This window comes from Homo sapiens, chromosome 18, assembly GCF_000001405.40.
Source record: "Homo sapiens chromosome 18, GRCh38.p14 Primary Assembly".
NCBI lineage: Eukaryota > Metazoa > Chordata > Mammalia > Primates > Hominidae > Homo > Homo sapiens.
Genome location: NC_000018.10, coordinates 2,535,274 through 2,559,901, shown reverse-complemented (window position 1 = coordinate 2,559,901; position 24,628 = coordinate 2,535,274). Strand labels below are relative to the sequence as shown.

Genomic DNA, 24,628 nt, shown 5'->3' with positions numbered 1-24,628 from the left:
TAGCCAGGTGTGGTTGTGGGCACCTATAACCCCAGCTACTTGGGACGCTGAGGGAGGAGAATTGTTGGAACCTGGGAGGTGGAGGTTGCGGTAAGCCGAGATCATGCCACTCCATTCTAGCCTGGGTGACAGAGAGACTCCCTCTCGAAAAAATAAAAAACAAAAAACAGAAATGTGTTCATTTCATCCTAGTTGTCAAATTTGTTAGCATGAAGTCATGTTATCTTATGCTTTCTTTTAATGTCTGTAGGATCTGTGGTGATGATAACTTTTTCATTGCTTTTATTAGTAATTTGTGGTTTTTTTAAATAGGTAAAATATACGTATCATAAAATTTACTGTTTTAACCATTTTTAGATGTACAATTTAGTGGCACTAAGTACATTCAGAGTGTCATGCCATCATTACCACATCCAAACTGAAACTACACATTAAATAGTAACTCCCCACTCCCCCTTCCCCTGCTGCCTGGTAACTAGTATTCTACTTTCTGTCTCTGTGAATTTGCCTATACCTCATGTAAGTTAAATCACATAATACTTGCCCTTTTGCATCTGGCTTATTTCACTATGTCTTCAAGGTTCATCCATGTAGCATATATCAGAATTTCTTTCCTTTTTAAGGCTGAAAAATATTCCATTTTATGTAAATATTACATTTTGTTTATCCATTTGTTTATGGACTTTTGCGTAGTTTCTACCTTTTGGCTGTTGTGAATAATGCTTCTCTGAAGACAGGTGTACAAATATCTATTCCAGTTCTTGCTTTTAGTTCTTTTGGATATATACCCAGAAGTGGAATTGCTGGATTTTATCGTAATTCTGTGATTAATTTTTGGAGGAACCACCATACTGCCTTCCACAGTGGTTCTATCATTTTACATTCCTACCAGCAATACCCAAGGGCTCCAGTTTCTCCACATCCTTGCCGACACTTTTGTTTTTGATAATAGCTATCCTAGTAGGTGTGGAGTAGTATCTCATTGTGGTTTTGATTTGTATTTACCTAATGGTTAGTAATGTTGAGCATCTTTTTATGTGCTTGTTGGCCATTTGTATATTTTCTTGAGAGAAATGTCTGTTTGTATCCTTTGTTCATCTTCTGGGCTGTTTGTTTTTTTTCTTGTTGAGTTTTAGAAGTTCTTTGTATATTCTGGATATTAACCCCCTATCAGATATATGATTTACAAATATTCAAAGAACAAGCTTTTAATTTAGTTAATTTTCCTTACTGTCTCTGTGTTTTCCATTTTATTGACTTCTGTGTTTTTTTTTATTATTTCTTTTGGTTTACTTTGCTCTTCTTTTTCTAACTTTTTTAATTTTTAATTTTCTTGGGTATTTTCTTAAAGTGGAATGTTATGTCGGTTAACTTACATCTTTTTTTCTTTTCTAACTTAAGCACTTAAAGCTGTAAGTTTCCCTCTAAATCACTGCTTTGGTTGCCTTCCACGTATTTTGATATTTTGTATTTTCATTTTGATTCAATAAAAAGTTATTTTCTGATTTTCCTTATTATTTCATCTTTGACCTATATGAATTATTTAGAAGTGTTCTATTTCATTTCCAGGTAATGAGTTTATCTCAGTGTCTTCTTGTTCTTGATTTCTAACTTAAATCCAATGGGGTATAGAACATACGCTTGGGATTTCAGTCCTTTTACATTTCTAGAACCTTGTTTTATGGCCCAGCATACGAGTTATCTTTGTGCCTGTATTATATGCTTTTGGGAAGAATATGTATTGTCTATACATATTCTTTCCAAAAATTGTTAGATGCAGTGTTCTATGAATGTCAGATGCAGTGTTAGAGGCAGTGTTCTATGAATGTCAGATAAAGTTAGTTGATAGTGTTTTTCAGAACTTCTGTGTCTTTAGAGATTTTTGCATTAATTTCTCACTTGCTGGGTAGATTTTTTTGGGTTGGTTTAGAATAGTGTTTAAGGCTAATTATGCCCCTATACTGATGCAAGATCGGTCTAATTACCCAGTACCCCTGTCAAGAACTGTGAAGTGTCTGAAATTTTACCCTATTTGGAAGCTAACAAATTAGCTTGCTTTAGTTTCATGGATGCTAGCAGAAGATAGGAGACTCCTAGGTCAGGGACAAAGGATTTTACTGCTCCTGGCACAGCATGTGCTTTATGCTCACAGGCTCCCTTTGCACCCCATGTCACATGAGGACAGTGGCAATCAACATAGTTAGATGCTGTGCATGCAGTGGGTTTCCTATGCATGCAGCAATTCTTTGATTCACAGCTAAGGATCCCAAGCTTAGGGAACTCTCATCTTTTAAGTGGGTTGCAAACAAACCTGTCTGACCTTTTGCCCCAGAGGGAGACTTTATTAACCTGGACAGCATACAAGTCTATCCTCTGCCTTGGGGAGACACTACTCCATCTTCCATGTTGTATACATATCCTTGGAAATTTTTTCTGGAACAAAAGCTGTCAGTGCCTCTGCTCAGAGACTCAGGATGAATTGTCTCCCAGTTGCCCTGTGAATCATGAGGTGTTCCCATCTGAGTGGTGGAAACAGGCACTATTCTTGGCCCTAGGGAGCATCAGATACTTTTTTTATTTTTATTTTTTAAATTTTTGGGGTACTCATTTTCCCAGCTTCTGATAGTTCCTTCACACACTTGTACTGATCAGTACATAGGTAAATTTCTCTAGTGTGCCTACCTGCAGATTTCCTGAGTTCTCTCTCTGTGGAGCCCTTTCCTCTCTGATATTCTGTCCTGTGAACTGTTAACTGTACTCTCAGTTCCATCTCCTCAACTCAGGGATTCTTCCAGGCTCTGCTCAGATTCTTCCTTTCTATGGCCTGGAAACTCTCTCCAGGCAATTTGCTGGGGCTATCGATTTCTTTCCCATTGCTTAGGGCTACTGTCCTTCCTTGCCTAATGTTTTAAAAGCTCTTGCTACTGTTTCTCTTTGTTGTTCCAGCCAGTGGAAGTCTCTCACTGCTTTGAACATTTCTCTTTATCACTGTTTCTTTTAGCAATTTGATTAGGATGTTACATAGTGCGGATTCCTCCTCCTCCTCTTCTTCCTCCTCCCCTGACCCCCACCTCCTCCTCATCCTCTTCAGCAAATTTGGAAATTTTCAGCCATTATTTCCTCAAATACTTTTTCTGTCTTCATTTTGGACACATTTGGTCCTTTTTTTATGTCTCTATGTCACTTCTTAATATGCTCATTTTTTTCCTTTACATCTTTGATCATATGAATATAGTATAAATACCTTAATATCATTTTTTACTTTTATTCCCAATATTTTTATTTGGACTGCAAGTAAACCTACCTAACCTTTTCTACTAATTTTATCATCTGTATCATTCCTATGTTTCCATTTGGTGATTTTTTCCTTTTATAATAAATTTTTCTGCTTCTTTACATTCCTGATAATTTTAAATTTTTTGTAAGATGTTTCTACTTTAGCTTTTTGGGTAGTTCATATTTTCATATTTGTTTAAATATTCTTGAGCTTTTTTCTCAGAAAAAGTTTCTTTGCAACTGGTTGATCTTTCTGAGACTCTCTTTAAGCTCATTTAGTTATGATCAGAGCAGACTTTGGTCTAAAGCTATTTTTTTTTTTCCCAATTGCCGAGGCAATGCCCTTGTGAATTGTCTGCCTGATGTTCTGTGAGTTATGAGGTTTTCCATTTTGGCATTGGGGAGCACTAACTATTCTCAGCCCTGGGTGAGCCCTGAGGATTGTTTCCTCGGGTCATTTCATCTGGTTCTTCCTTCCTTGCCTTTGGTAGTTTCATCCCATGCATGTGTTGATCGTGACTCGGCTGGAATTCTGGGCAGATCCCCTGCAGCTCTTAGGAGCTCTGTCTGTGCTGTCTCCTCTCTGGCACCTTCCTTGGCCTTTCTAGACTCCAAGCTCCATCTCCTTAACTCAGAGAGACTATTGGACTCTGCATGTGTCTTCCCTGTGCCTGGGAACTTTCTGAAGGCAGTAAGCTGGAGTGGTCCTTTGTTTTTGCTGTTTAGGGACCACTGTTCTACACTGCATGGCATCTGAAGTCTGAAAGCCTTTTTTTTTTTTTAAACATACCAACCATCCAACCAACCAACCAACCAACCAACAAAACAAACAAACATATTTTGTGCATTTAAAAAAAGTAATTTCAGATGAAAGGGTAAATCTGATCCATGATACTCCATCTTGTCCAGAAGGGGAACTTGGGTTTTATTTTTTATAATTATTTTAGTTGTATTTTTATAAAACTTTGTTTATATGTTTGTTTTATAGAGTTATGTTTTTCTTTATAATTCAAGCTATGTTTTGTGAAAGAAAAGGTATGTTTATTTTAAAATTAGATAACCAGAGAAATCTAAGATTAAGTGTTGTGATTTAAACTTAATTCTCCCTATAGAAGATGATGATGATTTTTTTCTTATATAGGAGTAATATGCTACCACTCAACCTCTATTGAAAGGTTGGCAGCCCTGAGACCTCCTTTTATAATTTAGCATGTTATGGATGTATTTCTCCTCCCAAAGGAATGAAGAGCAGATACTTCCTCATGCAATCCCTATAGATTAGAAATCCCATTTTCTTCTAGAAACATTCAGATTATCAAATTTACCTTATACATGTTTGAGGATATATTTTCTTACATGTATTTGGTTATTTAGTTGTCAGTGAATTTGTGAGGGTTGTTTCACTCTGCAGTTGGGAAACAGCAGTTCAAAGGCGTGCTCACACATTCTTTTCATTGTAGTACAGAATTATTTTACTGTAAGTGTTAAGGATATTGATTTCAGTTTATAAACTCAGATATTCAAAGCACAGTCAATGTTCTTTTTTAATGTCAACGTTCTTTTAATGTACTTAAAATTCTCTTACAGATCAGGGAGCTGATTTTGGATGGATCTTTACAGTTGATCCAGGAAGGTCTCAAAAGTGGTTTTCTTTATCCACTTTTTGAAAAACAGGACAAGGGTAGTAAGCCCATTACTTTACCACTTGACGCCTGCAGTTTGTCAGAATTATGTGAAATGGCAAAGCATTTGCCTTCTCTGAATGAAATGGAACATCAGACATTACAATTGGTGGAAGAGGATACATCTGTTACAGAACAGGATTTATTTTTGCGAGTTGTTGAAAACAACTCTAGCTTTACAAAAGTGATTACTTTAATGGGACAGAAATACCTGCTACCACCGAAAAGCAGTTTTCTTTTATCTGACATTTCTTGTATGCAACCACTTCTAAACTGTAAGTAATTATTGTGTTTGTTATTAGAAAAAGATAATTTTTCCGTGGGCTGAAAAGTTAAGAGCTAGTCTGAAATTTGAAGATGGGTCAGCATTTATGAGGATAGGGTAGACACTTTTCCTTGGGTTATTTGTCTCTTAGGTTTAATTTTAAGGTGCTGACTTTTGCTTTTTTTAAAAAAATAAATATTGTGAATAAAGAGTCAAAAGCTAATTTCTAAGAGAACAAATATAGTTACTTCTCTGTACTTAGGAATTCGGTATGCAGTTGTGTTTAACCAAATCACTTTTTTTTTTAACTTTTTTTCATAGCAAAGTAGAAACACTTCAGTTATGAATATCAATTCCCACATCATTCCTAGCCTTGTATAAAGGATACCATTTAGGCTAGTGTTCAAGCTCATTGTCTAAAATTTCTTGAAACATTTCCGTACAAAGTTAAAAAATTTAAATATTGAAGTCCGCAGTCACACAGACCTGTATTTGACTTTAGATTCTGAAGCTTATTTAACTGTGAGTCTTTGGGGTATTCATTTCACAAAACCGAGCCCCAGTCTCCAATCTATAAAATGGACATGATAATACCTGCTGCTTAGGGTCATTTTGAGGTATATTGATCAGATTGAATTTAATGTGCTGTTTATTGTTATTTGGACATTTTATAGCAAAATTTTAAGTTACTGAGCAACTACAACACAACTTACTAATGAAAAGCTTCTTTTAATTGCTATCAAGCCATCTTACACTTGAGTGGTTATCCATGTAGCAGTGCCATAAATTCTTCAGAGTAAATGACAGGATAACAAATTAATGAGAAAACCATTCTATGCATGCACATTTTTTCTCTTCTTTTTGATCTTTGTTACTCTAATAGCTTAAAAAGTGTCACTTCTTTATTTTAATTTGCATTCTTTTGATTACTTATGAGATTGTACACATTTACAAAAATATACCTATGTTTATAAAAGGGGGAGAAAGGACAGCTCTTCCTTACAGTAAAATTCCAGTTAATAAATGAATGGAATGATGGATCTAGAGAATTTCCATCTGACAAACACCATAATAATTGGATGTCAAAATAGTGGATGAAAAGATGAGACAGGATATTTTCATGGTCTTAAAGTATCTCCTCCCAAGATACTTGTTAATTACAAGGGAAAAACTGGTGAAACTCAGCAGACAACACTTTAACCAAAGACTCTTTAACATCCTTTATCTCCTGATATGTTGCACTGATAGGGCATGGCAGGCATTACTTTGGTGGTCCTCTTGCAAAAAATAAGTAATCTAAATTTAATCATGAGAAAATACTAGACCCAGATTGAGGGACATCCTATAAAATAATTGGTAGCCTTTAAAAGTTTCAAAATCATGAAAGACGAAGAAAGACCGAGGAACTTTTCCAGGTTGGAGGAGAGTTAGGAGGGATGGCAGCTAAATGCAATGTTTGATCCTGGCTTTGATCCTGGGTCAGAAAAAGTACATTAGTAAATAATTGGGGAAGTTTTATTATGGCCAATAAGTCAGTTGTAAAGGCTGAAATTATTTTAAAATAAAAAGTAAAAAAAAGACCTAGATTTCTTAGAACTATATTAATATGGCTGCCAAGACGCATAGGGAATTCACAGATCATTAGTGTTCAGCTTACTGAGCTGTAGTCATCTGCAGATAGTCTCTGCAACAATTGCAATAGGTAACATTATGATACAATTCTAGAGGTAAAGGAAACATCTAATATTTAATGATAAATTACTCTGTTTGAATAAATGCTATATACAGATCCCTTTGGTGCATTCCATTATATTCGTGTCCGTAGTGAAATCACTTGAGTTTTGAAGAACATGTTTAGTTTTTAAAGTGATCACATAGAGAAGGTATTTTCTGAAATTGTATCTTTGTTTTCAGATAGGAAAACATTTGATGTAATTGTGATAGATCCACCATGGCAGAACAAATCAGTTAAAAGAAGTAATAGGTAAGTGGAAATGAAAGCATTTGCTTTCTAAAAAAACTGTAGTCCTTTGTACATTATAGTTTAATATACTATTGACATTACTTTATGATATAGATTATCTGAAACTACTAAAATGCTTTCAATAGTTTTAACAGCTTAATTTCCTTAACTAGTTAATTCTCTTGAACTGTAACTATATATAAGTGTAAGAATGTCAAAAGTAGTGCATTTATTAATGCCAGAAGCAGTTCAGGGCTGTTTCTGTTAACACCAAAGGACAACATATTTGTCTTCTTTGATATCAAATTCTAAAGTTTAGAAATATGTGCCAAGATATTTCTAGTTTTCCTTAATAAAGTGTTATGAATGAATTTGTCTAATTCATTCTTAAATTTGTTTTTAATTTTTTAGTTTATGTTACTTCTTAGGGCGATAAGTTATTTACTAAGGTGATATTTCCTTTCAATAGCATTAAACAATTTTTTCCTTTCAATTCCTTATTTTATTTTATTTTATTTTATTTTGAGATGGAGTCTCACTCCGTTACCAGGCTGGAGTGCAGTGGCGCGATCTTGGCTCACTGGAACCTCTGCCTCCTGGATTCAAGCGATTCTTCTTCCTCAGCCTCCCGAGTAGCTGGGAGTACAGGCGCACGCCACCATGCCCGGCTAATTTTTGTATTTTTAGTAGAGACGGGGTTTCACCATATTGGCCAGGCTGGTCTCGAAATCCTGACCTCATGATCTGTCTGCCTCGGCCTCCCAAAGTGCTGGGATTACAGACGTGAGCCACCGTGCCTGGCCTTTTCCTTTCAATTCTAATGAATGTCTTCAGTTACATTGTCTCTTACTTTTCAGTTTTCTAGATGAAAAAATTCCAATTTCCTTGACTTAAACTTCATATGAAATTTCTTCTTCTCCTCAGTGATCCTCACCTTTCTTACGCTTCTTGTTTATGAGCTGTGCCAGTAGGATTTGTTTCTTTTCTTTCCTTTTTCTTCTTCTTCTTTTTTTTTATTTTGAGATAGGGTCTCACTCTGTTGCCCAGGCTGGAATGCAGTGGTGCAATCACAGCTCACTGCAGCCTCAAACTTCTGGTTCAGATGTGCCTGCTGCCTAAGCCTCCTGAGTAGCTGGGACTACAGGTGTATGCCACTACACTCGGCTATTTAAACATTTTTTTTGTAGAGACAGTGTCTTGCTGTGTTGCCCAGGTTGAACCCCTAGTCTCAAGCGATCCTCCTGCCTCAGCCTCCATAGTGCTGAGATTACAAGTGTGAGCCATCATGCCTGGCCAGATTTGTTTCTTTTAAAGTTACAAGAATCATACAAAGAATTCATGTATCTGTTTTCTGTGTGTGCAGATATCTATATCTTTATATAATTTTTTTGTGAGTTACTTGAGAATGAATTAATTAAGAGAAAGGGTAAGTTAGCCTTGAATATTTCAGTATGTATTTCCTAAAAACAAAGATAATTGTTTTACATAATGTAATTATCAAAATAGGTAATCAACATTGATATAATATTCTTTTTTTTTTTTTTTTTTTTTTGAGACGGAGTCTCGTTCTGTCGCCCAGGCTGGAGTGCAGTGGCGCGATCTCGGCTCACTGCAAGCTCCGCCTCCCGGGTTCACGCCATTCTCCTGCCTCAGCCTCCCGAGTAGCTGGGACTACAGGCGCCCGCTACCACGCCCGGCTAATTTTTTGTATTTTTAGTAGAGACGGGGTTTCACCATGTTAGCCAGGATGGTCTCGATCTCCTGACCTCGTGATCCGCCCGCCTCGGCCTCCCAAAGTGCTGGGATTACAGGCGTGAGCCACCGCGCCCGGCTGATATAATATCCTTATTGATTTGGCACTATTATGTACAGACATTATTCAGGCTACACTGATTGTCCCAGGAATGTCCTTTGTAGCAAATAAAAGTCTGGATTATACATGTTCAGTTGTCATACTTCTTCAGTATCTTTTGACTCTCTTTCTTTGACTGATTTTAATTTGTATCCTTACCCCTGAGAAATTGTAACTATGAATATAAAAGCTTTCAGTAAGTTTTGTTAGTTTAGCAAATTTTTGATCCTATGGGTGGCTTTGGAAACTACCTTAACTTGCAGTTGGTTTTAGAAGTGAGGTGTCTTCAGGACTGCACCTTCAAACTTTGCAGTTTGGCTAACTCTGGGTGATGTATTTTTATTAATAGTTCTCTTGGATGTGTACCTAGAAGTGGAATTACTACACCATGTAATTCTATCTTTAAATTTTTGAAGAGCTATCAAACTAATTTCTACAGTGCCTGCACCATTTTATATTCCCACTGGCAATGAGGGGTCTAGTTTTTCCACATTCTCACCATTTTCTTTCTGTTTTTTTGCATACTTTCCATTGCATCACATAAATATGCATATTTTAGAATTTGCTCAGTGATTTCCATGAAATTAGAGCTAGAAGAGGAGATATGAATATTTCCTCTTTCTCCACACAAATCAACCCAATTAAATTAAGGCAATCAAGGAATCTGCAGTTACTGAAACCATGTACTTTCAAATTTTTGACCTGACATTCTTCATACTGTAGCAAAATTAGTTCCTTCATCACTTCGATTATGAGAAATACTAGTCTGCGGGAAGAGCACTTGTTTCGATGGCAGGAAACTTGGGTGCTTGAGATCTGAATTCTTTTGCTTATTTATTTATTTATTTTTATTTTATTTTATTTTTTTTGAGACAGAGTTTCGCTGTTGTCGCCCAGGCTGGAGTGCAATGGTATGATTTCGGCTCATTGAAACCTTCACCTCCTGGGTTCAGGTGATTCTTCTGCCTTAGCCTCCTGAGTAGCTGGGATTACAGGTGTCTGCCACCACACCCGGCTAATTTTTTTTTTTTTTTTTTTTTTTTTAGTAGAGATGGGGTTTCACTATGTTGGCCAGGCTAGTCTCAAACTTCTGTCCTCAGGTGATACACTTGCCTCGGCCTCCCAAAGTGTTGGGATTACAGACATAAGCCACCACACCCAGCCCTATTTGTTTTAAGAAATACTTATTGATTGTCCCTGACATACAGTTGTCACATGCTAGAGCTGGATTCCAATGTTTGTTGCATTTGGCCATTAGGAAGTCATTTACTTTTTTCAGAGTAGGCATAGTGGTAAAAGTCTCATTGGAGTCAACTAAGGAATAAAATAAAGGAGATAAAGTAGGATTTGCATACAAGTCCTTAGCTTAGTTGTAGATAGAAGGTGATGGAATTGAGGGAATTTCTCTTCTGTATTCTCTGTCCTCTTCTTTCTCCTCTCCTCCCCTCCACACCTTTTCCTCTCCTCTTCTTACTCTCTCCTCCCTCTCTCCTCCTTTTCTCATCTTCTTTTCAAATGAGATAGGATAATCATATTTGTAGGTTGATGGTAAAGAACTACTAGAGAAGTTGAAAATAGAGAAGGAGGGGATAATTGGTATTACAAGATACTAGCATATGGGACTAAGAGAATACAACCGGAGGGATAAGCTTTAATAGGTGAAATCATGCCATTTCCTTTAAGAGGAAATGTATGGAAATAGATAAGTAAAGGTATATAAAGGAGAGGGGTTAGGGTTGGGTAGTTGAGGGAGGTTGGCGGCCTTTAGTTTTACTGATGTATGAGTTAACTTTACCTGCTAAGAGAGAGTTTGGTCAAGGGATCTGAAGAGTGGTGAGGGTTTGTGGTACTTGACCAAGGATGAGTAAAAGAATTGATGAGTACTTTAAGATCCTGATAATGGATTTTATAAACTTTTAATACCCAGTTCTTCCGCATTTTCTTCATCTGATTTTCCCTATACAAACAAGTGGAATAAAATTGTGATACTGATTTAAGATGGGAGGTTTGCAGGAACTGTGAGGTTGAAGGGTAAAGGGAGGATGGGAACTGAGAGTGCTAGTGAGAAGACAATGAAACGATTGGCGGTCCACGGGGAAGAAGAGCAAGTGTAATCAGGAATAAGCTGCTAGATAAGCTCAAAGAGTAGGTGAGGCATAGCATGTTATTGCCAGAGATTGATGTTTATGGTTTCAGAGAAGGAGCAAGTGTGAGTGATGACAGGGTCCAGGTTATGGCATTGGAGTGGATTATGGAAGTGGGATGAAGGCAGTTGTATTTGTTTAGGTGAAGAATAGTTGAAGTATATACATTATATGGATTGTGCTTTGAAATTGTTCAGAATAGTGGCCAGTTTTGTGTTGGTGAGGTAGTGGGATCTCAGAGCTTAAGTCCTTATTGAATATGTTGAGGATGAAATGGATTCAGTGAGGAACAGTAGAGGTTAACATAGCTGGATAGCATACCTCTCAAAGAGAACAGGGTTTTTTTTTGCAAAGGTGGATGAGTTATAGCCTAGAAGCAGCAATGGGGGAGCCAGGAGAATAATGACTTCTCCCCTTCCACTGAATGTTGGAGAAGGGGCCATATTCATTTGATTGAGTATTGTAGAGCAAGTAGTATTTTTGCAGGACAAACTAGCCATTATACTCTATGGCCAGGAGGTACAAGATTATAGATTTTGTTTTACAAAATGAAAATATGAGGGCTTTAGAGAACCCAGTGGAATTGACTGAGAAGGCAAAAAGCAAGATGATAGATTAGGGGTTGCAAATGCAGTGGGGTGGAGATGAGGATAGGTGAGATGACTCCCTGTGAAGGAGTCAGCATTTTGTGCAGGGTTTGAGGATTCTAGGGCTAGGAGAAGCTTCATTGGAATAGATTGGCTTTAGCATTACCAATTTTGCAACACTGATTTGGTGCCAGGTAAGGCTTGTATGGTTTGACTTAGGTTATTGAGAGACTCGTTTCAAGACTCACTGTGACAGGGCTCCTGTGTAACGTAGAGTATGGGATCTAAACAACAATATTTGCTTAATTTTGAATTGGAGAAAAAAATATTGTTAATAGTAAAATTACTGAAATGTAATGCATTTAGAAGTGACTAAAAAAAAATACAGCCTGACGATTTTAAACTAGTTAAAAAAAAGGTGATTTTTGTCTTGTGTGTAATAATATGTCCACTGGGTGTCACTGTGGCTTTATATTTTGCTACACAAATAAATAGCAGTAAGAGCTTTGCATTTGTGGAGTCTGTGTTATGCATGTCTTATCCCTGCTTAGTTTTCTTCTTTTGCAGTGAATTTTGCTCATCCTTTTTTCCGTTTATTTTTAGGTACAGTTATTTGTCACCCCTGCAAATACAGCAAATACCTATCCCTAAATTGGCTGCTCCAAACTGTCTTCTTGTTACTTGGGTGACCAATAGACAGAAGCACCTACGTTTTATAAAGGAAGAACTTTATCCCTCTTGGTCTGTGGAGGTAGTTGCTGAGTGGCACTGGGTAAAAGTAAGTTCAGAAGTTAGCTTATTTGTTAATACAGCTTGATAGAAGTCACATAAAGGTAGCATCTACTTTGTAATGCTCAACATGTCACTGCTGTACTCCTTCAACATGGGCTAATTCAGACTTTTGCTTTGCTGCTTACCACTTTTATATTTTTATTCTCAAGGCTATATTTTTTTTGTATGTCTTTTTGTAATGGGGCCTCAAACTGCTGGCTTTGGGAAGTCAGTCTGGAAGATATCAGGATAAAATTTTTAAAAGCTCTGATTTTGTCTGTAGTTTAAAAAACAACAAACAAAAACTTTGGGGAATTGTGTATCACCAAACATAGAAATAGTCTTACTCTTCATCTTCTTCCCTTTATATACTCACAGTTTCAACCACCCTTTGTGATTTCTTTTTCTTATTTTGTGGGGGATGAGGGCAAGGAATAGCAAAGTAACCCATTGTAGAGGGGATGGGAAGATGCCAGAACCAAGAACCTTTTATGCTCTAAATCTTAACTTAGGTCCTCAGTGCCTTTTGTGCTGCTGTGCATATTTTTGAAAGAAATGATTTGGACTCTAGAATTGGTTGAATGATCTTTAATATCTCTGCATGCTACAAGATTACCAAAAAATACAGAAAAATAAGGCATCAATTTAGAGTTCATCAGGTTTCCTTTTAAAGATACATTGACTATTTAGATGATTTCTATAAACGCCTTTCTAAATTTTGAAAAGATAATCCAAGCTATTATTTTAGTGTTTAATGTTTATATTGCAAGCATACTCATTTTTGACACAGTGGAGTTGTACTTTTTATGGCTTTGTGTATACTTTTTCATCTACTGGAATATCTTCTAAAAGCTGTGTACAGTAGTTCTCCTTATCCTTGGGGGGATACATTCCAGGACCCCTAATGGATGCCTGAAACCATGGATGGTACTGAACCCCATATATAATTTTTTTTGTATACATACATACCTATGAGAAAGCTTAATTTATAAATAGAGAGATAAACAATAACTAATAATAAAATAGAATATTATAGCAATATACTGTAAATGTTATGTGAATGTGGTCTCTCTCTCAAAATATTTTACTGTACTGTACTTACCTATCTCTGGACTGTGGTTGACCATGAGTACCTGAAAACCTGGAAAGTGAAACTGTGGATAAGGGGGGACAAGTGTATATTGTTTATTTATACCTATGTTATGGGACTTGACAAAGACTTACAGTTGTATCTTTGTTTTCATGCTGTACTTTGGTCTTAGTGTTGGTTGATTTGGTATAGGACCGTGATAGGAGTATACTACCCTGTTCCGTCTTGCCTATTATGATAGTTCTTTTATAGTCAGAAACTGGGACCAAAGTCAGGAGGAGGTCACCTTTTGAAATCAAACCCAGTAAAATGTTAATACATAGAAACTAAGATTATTAATCCGTAGTAGTTATCAGTTCTAAGAGATGGTATGATAAGACCAGAATTTAAAACATAAATATCATCTATTATGTTATATGAAGCATTTATTAGGCAATTATACATATTGTTATGATAGGAGGGGTAATGTGCATTGAGTATAAAAACTACCCAACGTGCCAGTATTTATACAGCACTTTTTGTAGGATATGCTGTGTCTGATTGGCCCTAGAGGAGATAAAAGACTTTCTGATTACTGAGTTGGTTGTTTAGGTACATTGATATCGGATAAAGAGTTTCACAGATATCAGTATTCTGACAGTGAAAATGTATATTCCCATGGTAAATTAATGAATTGATATTTTAAATTATTTTTAGTTTGATTAGCTTAAATGAGTCTTTGAGAGTATGATCATCCCAGGGTGAAATGTGAAATTGAATTTCTGAATTTATAATGCCAAGGGCCAGTCTCTGGACTAGGTATTGTCTATCAACCACCCACTTTCTATCCTTATTAATTTTGGCTTTGACAATGTTTAATGATACTATCTCGTGTAACTAAAGGGAAACGTGTTATTATGATCTACTTAGTCATATTGCAATTCATTTATTAGTTCATTAGTAATTCATTTATTAGTTTATTTGCATGAACTAATAAATTACTGATGACATGGTTTCCAGGAATCAATTTTAGTTAAGAGTAGAGATTGTTTTATGTGCAAGATGATAATGAAGTTATATTTGAAATATTTATATGATATTTAATAAAAATCTCTTATAGAAGCAGTGTCTAATATGGTAGCCACTAACACATGTGACACTTCAGCACTTGAAATGTGGCTAGTCCAAACTGAAATGTACTGTTAAGTATAAAATACACTTTGGATTTCAGGCATAGTACAAAAGAAAGAATGTAACATATCTCAGTAACTTTTTTGAATTGATTACATATTGAAATGACAGTATTTCAAGTATGTTAGACTGAATTAAATATATAATTAAAATTGATTTCATTGCATTTTTTTTTTTACTTCTTTTGGTGTTTCTATTAGAAAATTTAAAATGATAAATGTGGCTCACATAGTATTTTTACTGAATATCACTAGCCTGGAGGTTTAATTTCTTTTGTGTGTGTGTGGAAGCTCTATAGTGATGGGAAAAAATAACCCTCTTTTGTTGGCTCCTTCCTATCAGATAACCAATTCAGGAGAATTTGTGTTCCCATTAGATTCTCCACACAAAAAGCCCTACGAAGGTCTTATACTGGGGAGGGTTCAAGAAAAAACTGCTCTACCATTGAGGTAGGAAAGGTGATTTTTCAAAATTGTATACATGTATTAATTTTTACGCTTTTAAAAATGATTAGTAATCATTGACTTTTTAAAATGTTTATGTTTTTGAAACTCTGAAAATGGTCCAGTGTAGAAAAGAATGGATGGTATGGCACAGGAAACTATATTTTGTTTTATCTAGTGTGTAATTGTCATTATTATAGAAAATGAAATTATAGGAATGTCTCAATACTTAAATTGTTAATTTCTTTCATTGATTGTAAAATTTGTGTTAAAATCAGATACAGAAAGAGAACAAAAATCAATGCAGCTGTGGCTTATGTATAGAAAATTGTTTTTTAAAATATAGTTTACTTTCTTGTTCTGTTTAATTAGGAATGCAGATGTAAACGTGCTCCCCATTCCAGACCACAAATTAATTGTCAGCGTGCCCTGTACTCTTCACTCACATAAGCCACCGCTTGCTGGTATGTTTTTATAAAATAGAATTGTTATCACTTTTGTCAAATTTGAAAAAAAGTGTACATTTAGTATTTAAACGGCCTACAGATTCGGAAATTAAGTCAGACGTAGGTTGTTAATGAATATTCTAAAACTTTATAGCAGAATTCATAGCAGAATTTGCCTATCTCTATGAAATAGAGAATAGATTAGTTTTATGTTACTCAGCTTTTCCAGTTATACCATTTTTCAGATTCCCCTTGCTATCAGTTGCTTCCCATCACTGGGCTGACACAAAGAATGCTGATGGGCATCTGAGGATGCAGTTCAGCTAGACCCTTTATTTTACTACCGGGGCTGTATCCCTTGCTTGTTCTAAAACCAGGAACTCAGAATAGTAGTCAGAGAAACAGAAGTCCCTTGATATTTGGTTAGTGGCTCTCAGTTTTACGTTTTTTTAAAGGTAGTGTTGCTTTTCTGGAACATTGACAGGTAATTGCTGCAGCCTGCAAATTCTCACTAGTCTTAATGCTTTAGTATAATGTTTATCATTCAATGAAACTATGCAGCAGGGAATAGTGGGGAATTTGGCTTTAGAAATGGACTAATGTGATTTTGAATCCTGGCTCTGGGAGTTGGGCAAGTCACTCAAATATTTTTCTGTATCAAAGTCCTCATTTAAAGAGGGAATAATGATATTTAGTCCTCTAGAGTTGTGAGAATTAGTTATATTTAAAGTTCCGTAGCATGTGATAGAAGCTCAATGAATGCTAAATTTTTCAAGTCAGAGTTTAAAAACATAGAAATATAAGTCCTTGAGAGATACTGAATTTGATATTCAAAGTTTACTTTTCAAAGGATTTCTTCAGGAATACATATTTTATTGGTTTGGTAATTTCTACCAACAAAAAACTGCTACAAGTTACCACTCAGGAAAACTACAGGAGCTTATGTTACCTTGCAGAATATGAGGCAGTTTATGACCTGGGAAATGGAGAAAGTGAATACAAATTCCTAGAGAATTTTTATTGCTAGCACTTAGGATTTCTGTTATCTTAAATAGTTTATGGAGAAGGGTCCTTTTTTAATTTTTTTTTTTTTTTTTTTGAGATGGAGTCTCACTCTGTCACATACAGTGGCCTGATCTTGGGTCACTGCATCCTCTACCTCCTGGGTTCAAGTGATTCTCCTGCCTCAGCCTCCTGAGTGGCTGGGCCTACAGATGTGTGCCACCATGCCTAATTTTTATATTTTTAGTAGAGACGGGGTTTCGCCATGTTGGCCAGGCTGGTCTCAAACTCCTGACCTCAAGTGATCCGCCCGCCTCGGCCTCCCAAAGTGCTGGGATTACAGGCATGAGCCACCGCACCCAGCCTCTAGAAGGGTGTTTATAGTATTACTTCATTTGAGACATATACAGATGTCTACCTGATAATCCATTCTTTGACTAAGAAGGATTCTCAGTGAATAATCGATTGCCTTATGCTTCGGACTGTCATAGACCTTTAATGCTTTAATATATAACTCAAGTGAAAGTGAGATTGCATTGTTCCTCATGAAAAAAAAATTATACTTGGCACTAGTAATACCTGATTATATATGTATATGTATTCCTCTCATTTGAATTTTATTTATCACTTGGTAACAAAGCTAGTGTTTGTCTCAAACCTTATTTTTTTCTTTTAAAAATTCAAAAGCTAAGACCATAAACTTTTCATTCTGAAATGATAGTAAACTATTTGTCAATTCCTTTAAAATAAAATAAAGTTATATTTAAAGATGAGCCTCAGGAGACAGGTTTTAAAATAGTGAATAAACAGGAAGGGGAACATCACACTCTGGGGACTGTTGTGGGGTGGGGGGAGGGGGGAGGGATAGCATTGGGAGATATACCTAATGCTAGACGACGAGTTAGTGGGTGCAGCGCACCAGCATGGCACATGTATACATATGTAACTAACCTGCACAATGTGCACATGTACCCTAAAACTTAAAGTATAATAATAAAAGAAAAAAAAAATGAGTCTTGCCCTAAAGCATTACAGCTTATATCTTTGAAATGCAGTTCTTCCTCATTCCCAGTAGAGAGCAGCACAAACACATTTTTAGCATTGAAAACATTTAAAGACAAAAGTTAGATTCTGGAGGAAACATCTGAATAACTCCATATATATATAAAATCTTATGTTTTGGTTAAGTAGTGATAGGAAATATTGTAATATTTTATTTTTGAGTTCATGTTACTGTATATATTTTTAGTATAGTTCATGTTTCTATATATTTCAGAAAGCATCTCTCAGATTTCTGCAGTATATTTTACCCTGAAATCATAACTCTAGGGGTTTGGGATGATATATATTCTGTATATAATGCTTACAGCTTTTACATTTAAATATTCTTAAACTGTTTTATGCAAATTAATAAAATGAAATGTTTTCTCTTTTGTATTTAGAAACACCCTGATTTTTTTTTTTTAAGTTTAATTGGTTATTTCTGTTGCAAAATGTAGGAGACCACATTGGTAGCATATGGCATTTCAAAATGATACATTTGCATAAGTTTTGAAATTTTCTCCGATTGAAAGATAAGCTATCAATAGCTATGGTTTACAACCTAACATTATAAAGTGATATTGTTTGAAGATTTAAGGTAGGAAAATCATGAAATAAAGTATTTAAATCAAAATTTTAGCTTTCACATTTTACCTTAGAGGAATTTCCACTTCTTTTTACTGCTTTACATACTAACAGTTTCCATCTGAAGAGTGAAGTTTAGTTGATGGGATTATATGCACTGATGTTTGGGCCACTTCTCTCTTACTCCTGCCCCATGCTTTCAGAGCAAAAACGAAATGACTAGCTGTGCACAGATTGCATCCGCTCCATTAGTTAAAGTGTGTTTTACTAACTCCAGATGTTATGTAATTGTTGAAGTTTATGTGTCATACTCATGTTTAAATTTATACATTCACATTTATTTTTAAATTAATATTTAAAAACCAGAATAATCCATTTTTATTAATTTGCCTTTATTTCTTCTCCCTTATTTTGAAATAAAATAATTGTAGTTAACATTATAAAAACACAACTTAATATTCTGTTTTTCTTAACTAGAAAGGAAAAGAACCATGCAAAAACTTACTACATTGAGAAAATAGGATGGCAGTAAATGGGTTTAGGTTGTATGTATTTTTCCACTCCATCCAAGTACCTGGCCATTATTTTCCATTAGATTGTAAACTCTCATAAAACATGGATATTCTGCTTCCTTTGTTTAAGTTTTATAACACTGATTATAGTGGGTGCTCAGAAGAGGAAACATTTTTGACTGGCTGACTCCAGTTTAAATTTCTAAAATAGGGTTGCTAACATCTTCGTACCAAAAATCTGAACAAATGAAACAAAAACAAACAAAACCTTTCTTCAGCGTAACCTGAGACCACATTAAAGTGAACTGAGGCTGGTGAGGCGTTAAATTCATGGGAAGAAAATGGAAAAGTTCTTCCATGTGGGGTTATTTCCTCCAAGACTCTAGGGAAATCTTTCTCTTTCAAGGTTAGTAGCATTTAATTTATGCACTTAGGAAAGGGTTAGAAGCCTTCGTGCCAGTATCTCCTAGAACCCATCAAAGCCCAAATTTGAGTTCACTTGAATTATAGACAGTGAAACCTTTTAATTCTTCTTTGATTTTTGCTAAACAGGACCAGTACTTTCTGACAGATGAACAAGTATTTTGCTGTGAGAGCAACTGAAGAACATGATGAAACCTAAAATATTTGATATATTCTCTTTTAAACCTTACCTGTCTCTAGTATTCCTAAAGAACCCTTATCATTCCTAAATTTGATAGATTTCTTCCAAGCGCAATCTTACATAGCAATTATGAACCATATTTTACCTTTTCTAGTGATTTTTCTTATCTGAATTTTATACCAAATTCCTATTAGGTGGTTAGCATAGCTAACCAGCAGCATGATCAAGATTAAATTGATTTAAGTATTTGTCATCCAATTGAGTGAACATGTGCTTTTCAAAAAGTTTCTGTGTTCTTCTTTTCTTTTAGTGTAGACAACAGCTCTTTAGCCTACAGCTCTTTCCCCAACAAAATACAATGTTCAGTAGTTATTAATACATTGAATAATACAAGGAATACTTAACTGTGGAAGTACCATGATGAAATTTTAGGTAAAGAAGGATCTATAATTTGAAAATGAAGAAATGTTTTTAGTGCTACCAATTTACTGCTAAGGGGGCTAGTTATTTAAATGTTAGTTATTTGTTCTCAGTATTTCTATCTCTATCCAGCTCTTCATTTATTATTATTTTATTAAAGTTTATATTGCAGACAGACTTTTGTCTTTTTTTTTTTTAAATGGGTTGTTTTTCAATTTTTTTTAGAGCTCTTTTTCATGTATGGGTTATATTTATTAAAAATAAATTGGCTGGGTGCGGTGGCTCCTGCCTGTAATCCTAGCACTTTGGGAGGCCGAGGCGAGTGGATTGCCTGAGGTCAGGAGTTCGAGACCAGCCTGGGGAACACGGTGAAACCCCATCTCTACTAAAATACAAAAAATTAGCTGGGAGTGGCGACGTGTGCCTGTAATCCCAGCTACTTGGGAGGCTGAGATAGGAGAATTGCTTGAACTCGGGAGGTGGAGGTTGCAGTGAGCCGAGATTGCACCATTGCACTCCAGCCTGGGTGACAGTGCGAGACTCTTGTCTCAAAAAAAAAAAAAAAATTAAATAAATAAAGTTAATACTCAGGAGATATATCAGCAGTATTGGAAAACTGAAAAGTCACCTAGTAGGTGTTAAAGTCCTCATTTCTCATCTACAAATGAAACCAGTAAACCAGGACTATGGAAGTTCAGATGATATTGTTCCCAGTCTCAAGGGTACTTATTTTAAATGGCTTTCTAACTATAAATAGTAAAGCCTGTGATGAAATCCTTGAAATTAATTTGCTGTCTTTTAAGAACAAAATGAAATATTTCTCTGTTTCTACTCTTAACTGCTAAAAGGAAGTGGATTCCTTCCTCAATAATAATTTTTGTGTTTTTTCTCTTTTTTAAACAGAGGTTTTAAAAGACTACATCAAGCCAGATGGGGAATATTTGGAGTTGTTTGCTCGAAATTTACAGCCAGGTTGGACTAGTTGGGGCAATGAAGTTCTCAAATTTCAGCATGTGGATTATTTTATTGCTGTGGAGTCTGGAAGCTGACTATGATCTTGATTAAAGTAGTGGTTTCTTCATTGTTTCCTCACCACTTTTCCCTTAATTCTAAGTCATTTTTTTATTTTGTTACCAACCCATATTCTTAGAATATAAACAGGACTTGTTTTTTTCAGTAAGGGACCAGAAGTGACTAGCCTTCATGTAATTTTAAGATGAATTTTACTTGAGTTGCACTAACATTCTATGTTATTCTAGACTATACAAATTAAGTGGTAAGCAGTTATAAAGACGGCAAGACCATGCTATTGAAAAAGTTCAGAAAACATACACCGTGGACCAGAGGTCTTAATCCTATCTATGGATGTGTTTTGTGTGACCCATACAGTGTTGTAAAAAACACTTAGAACCATTATTCTAAAAAATGGGGCTATTTCACATTAAAGTCCAGATTTCTGCTTCTTTTTAAACATCAGAGGCTCTGGCTACACAGAGGCCTTTGTTCTTTCCTGGCATCAGTCTGCAGGACCAAGCGGTGGTGGCTCACTTGGGAAGAGCCTTGTGCTCTCCACTTTGCCACAGTACCACTGCCACCATGCTGCTCACTTATGTCATCCACTTGGCCCTTGTATGACCTGAATTTGCAACCTCTGGTATACTGTTATGTTCTGGAGAAAATATTCAAAGATCTGCCAAATACTGCATTAGTATACTGAGTTTATACAGCATTTTTGTAGGGTTTTAAATTGCATTCAAGGTCACTTTCCAAGCACTTTCTGGTTTTGCTTGTTTTTCTAGAAGAAAATGAAAAGCTATTCCTTATAATAAACATGGCAGCAAGTAAACAGTGTGATTGTGAAAAAAATATTATTTATAGATTTTCTACAAATAAATATTTGTCTACCAAGTAAAATATTTTGACTGAAATGATTCTTTGAAATGCATATTGATTTATTATGTATTGACTTTTTAAAAATTGAGGTATAATTTTCACAAAATTCTCCAATTTTCAGTGTCAAATTCAGTGAATTTTGAAAACATATATACAGTTGTCTGTCTGCCACAGTGATCATGATACAGAACACTTTCTTTACCCTGAAAACTTCTCATTTTTCCTTTTGCAGTCAATCCCCTGCTCCTATCCTTGGCCCCTGGCAAACACTGGTTTGCTTTCTATCATTAGTTCTGCTGTTTGAGAATTTCATATAAATGGAATCATGCAATGTGTAATCTATTGTGCCTGGCTTCTTTCACGTAGCATTTTGAGAAAAGCATTTATACTATTTACAGATTGTTGACAAATATTTATCCACTAAGTAAAATGTTAGACTGAAATGATTCTTTGACAAGCTTGCCAATTTACTGATTTTGTCAAAGAAAAATATGTTATTTTTGAAGTTTGTTCATCCTTTGAGTGTGTGAGTATAGTATCAGAGGCTTAATTTTGTATTTATGGAGCTATTCTAACTTGTTATTTAAAAGGAAAAAGGTATTAAACTTGAAGCAAACTTCTCATGATCTCATTTGAATTCTTTCCAGCTTCTTTTGGTATTTATAGATTTTATATACTTTGTGGGAACATTTTATCCTCACCAAGTTTTTGGACTTTTATTTTTGCATCATAAACACGGGTACTGAAAGAAAAAAGAGAGAATCTTAATTCAATGAGTCTATTATTCACGTTGCAAGAGTACTAGTTTTAGCTTTACTCCGAAGTTGTGAAACCTCTGGACCTTGTTTTAACACCAGTTTAATTATTGGGCTCCTTTTAAACAAAGGAGTCTGCAAATTTTAATAACATACCTTGTAGAACAAAAATGAAGGAAGATGAACATCAAACTTTGACTTCATTACTACAGTTGGTTTAGCCAACTGACCTGTTGGACTTACATATTTTAGAGCGTTTTCATTCAGACCTTCCTATATTATTTTTATAACTTGTAAGAATTTTGTGGGGTTTTTTTCTATCACATTCTTTTTACAGGCTTAAGGTCTTTTAGGACTCTTGGTAATAATGCTTAGGCAAAGGGGTGCGGCTAACATTTGTTGAGTAGTGTATGTTACTCCGGTATGCTTTCTACTTACTGCATTTAATCCTCGTATAACCCTGAGAGATAGATACAACCTTCATTTAATAGTTGAGAAAGCTGAAGCCCAGGGGACTATTTTGTCTGTAAACACACAGCAAGTGTCAGAACTAGGATGCACAGTTTCCTGACTCCATAGCCCATGCTGTATTCTATGTAAAAACGTGGAAAACTGAGCAAATGACTAAGGATTTCTCAAGTGATAGGATTACACTCTAGCATTCCCCCTCGAGCTCTTTTGCTTCTGTGTGCTTAACTGCTAACACCACTCAAGAAACTGGGGGAATTGTGCCTCATAACGTCATATCCTTGGAATTCTTGGCCTTTCTCTGACTCTTTCACCCTTCTACATGAGATCCGGCAGAGTAAAATCACAGAATACAAAACACACAAAATCACAACTACTCTTAGAAACAGATTCTCTTTAAAAAACCTGATCTTTTTATCATTTGTCCTCCTTTCTTCCTCAGCCTTTATTTGTACCCTCTAGTCAAAGTTTGACCCAGTTTTTTTTTTTTCTCTTGGCCACTGTAGACACAAGATCTTTTTTGTACCTAAGGCGGTACAGTGTGGCACAGTCAGTGCAGTCTAAAGCCAGCTTGTGTAGATTTGAACCCAACTGGCTTTTGGCTTTGAGCAAGTTAATTAAATCTTTAGGCCTTGGTGTTCATTCATGCATATAGGTGATAATAATACTACCTCATAGAGTTGTTATGAGGATTAAATGACTTAATACATGCAAGGCACTTGTAATAGTGCTTGGAATATTTTAAGCACTCCAAAAATGTGACAAGTTTTTTTTTTTTTTTTGTTTTGTTTTTAAATTTCAGGTCAAAAAGTTCTTACCACAGTCTGGACTCTCAATCAGGGAACGCACTGGAAGTTAAATGTTAGTTCCATCCCTTTGCCTGAGCATTATTAAACTGCCCATACAGTTTTTCTGTCTAAGCATCCTTTTTTTCTTAATCTTTTTCTTGTTCAGAACCTGCACCTGATTTCATACATGAGGAAGCTATGAAATCTCCTTTCCTATTGCGGTCCTGCCTAAGAAACAAATTAAAACAAGGGCCACATGTGGCTTTGGGCTTTGTGTTTTGATTGCCTCCTGCCATGTTGACTAAGCTGTGTAGCTACTCTACATTGCTCTTTGTTGAATTCCACAGGTGCTAAATAGGTCACCTTTTAGCGATGATGTTTCTTCTATGTTTCTTCTATGTTCAGAGACTTCAGGCCCATGCCATGTAAATTTGGTTCAAAATAGATGTGTTACACTTTGCTGCAGGTGTTAGGAAGTTGATCTTTATTTGCCACCCAGGGGATTTTCCAGTTGATAAGGCACAGACCAAGTAAAGAAGTCCTGTTTCTTCAGATGGTCTGAAAGGCACCAATGGGATAGGTTTCTTCTCTTGAATGCCAACCTTTGAGGGAGGCCAACATCACCATGGGCCAGTGGCCTTCAGCCTAGTCTGTGACACTGGGGATATAAGTCTGGATCTAGATCTGGGCCTAGCTTTAGATCTGCCTTTGCTCTGTCCTTGCTGCAGGCTCTCTTTACCTTGTCCTGTTCTAGTCCTCTAAATTCTATGATGCAAACTCATTCTCACAAGAGAATCATGGGCCCCAAATCTTACCATCTCAAACTTACACATATCTTTTGAGCACTTTTATGTATTCAGCTTCAGGCAGA

At 35.7% G+C, this 24,628-nt stretch overlaps 1 protein-coding gene and 1 non-coding gene across 8 annotated transcripts in view, besides 1 other annotated feature; one reads left to right on the top strand and one right to left on the bottom strand.

Moving 5' to 3' along the window:
* Positions 1-22,372, top strand: part of METTL4 (methyltransferase 4, N6-adenosine) — a 33,976-nt gene extending 11,604 nt beyond the window's left edge. For 2 of the 7 annotated variants that reach the window (XM_005258133.4, NM_022840.5), the window contains exons 4-9: positions 4,864-5,233; positions 7,138-7,207; positions 12,373-12,547; positions 15,143-15,249; positions 15,616-15,707; positions 20,757-22,372. In XM_005258133.4, the coding sequence (XP_005258190.1) occupies positions 4,864-5,233; positions 7,138-7,207; positions 12,373-12,547; positions 15,143-15,249; positions 15,616-15,707; positions 20,757-20,902 (960 nt within the window). In that variant the 3' untranslated portion in view covers positions 20,903-22,372. Of the gene's footprint in view, positions 1-4,863; positions 5,234-7,137; positions 7,208-9,914; positions 9,992-12,372; positions 12,548-15,142; positions 15,250-15,615; positions 15,708-19,040; positions 19,236-20,756 lie in introns of those variants that run through there. The other 5 variants (XM_047437741.1, NM_001308401.2, XM_005258132.5 and 2 more) reach the window with 5 other exon arrangements.
* Positions 4,410-4,544, bottom strand: LOC124904380 (small nucleolar RNA U109). Its single transcript, XR_007066493.1, has one exon. It is a non-coding gene; the product is annotated as a small nucleolar RNA U109 (small nucleolar RNA).
* Positions 23,787-24,326: an enhancer, noted in NCBI's record as "OCT4-NANOG hESC enhancer chr18:2535575-2536114 (GRCh37/hg19 assembly coordinates)". NCBI's record gives its function as "activates a minimal SCP1, AML or CMV promoter by ChIP-STARR-seq in primed H9 embryonic stem cells {active_cell/tissue: H9 hESC(primed)}" and the evidence as "EXISTENCE:reporter gene assay evidence [ECO:0000049][PMID:30033119]".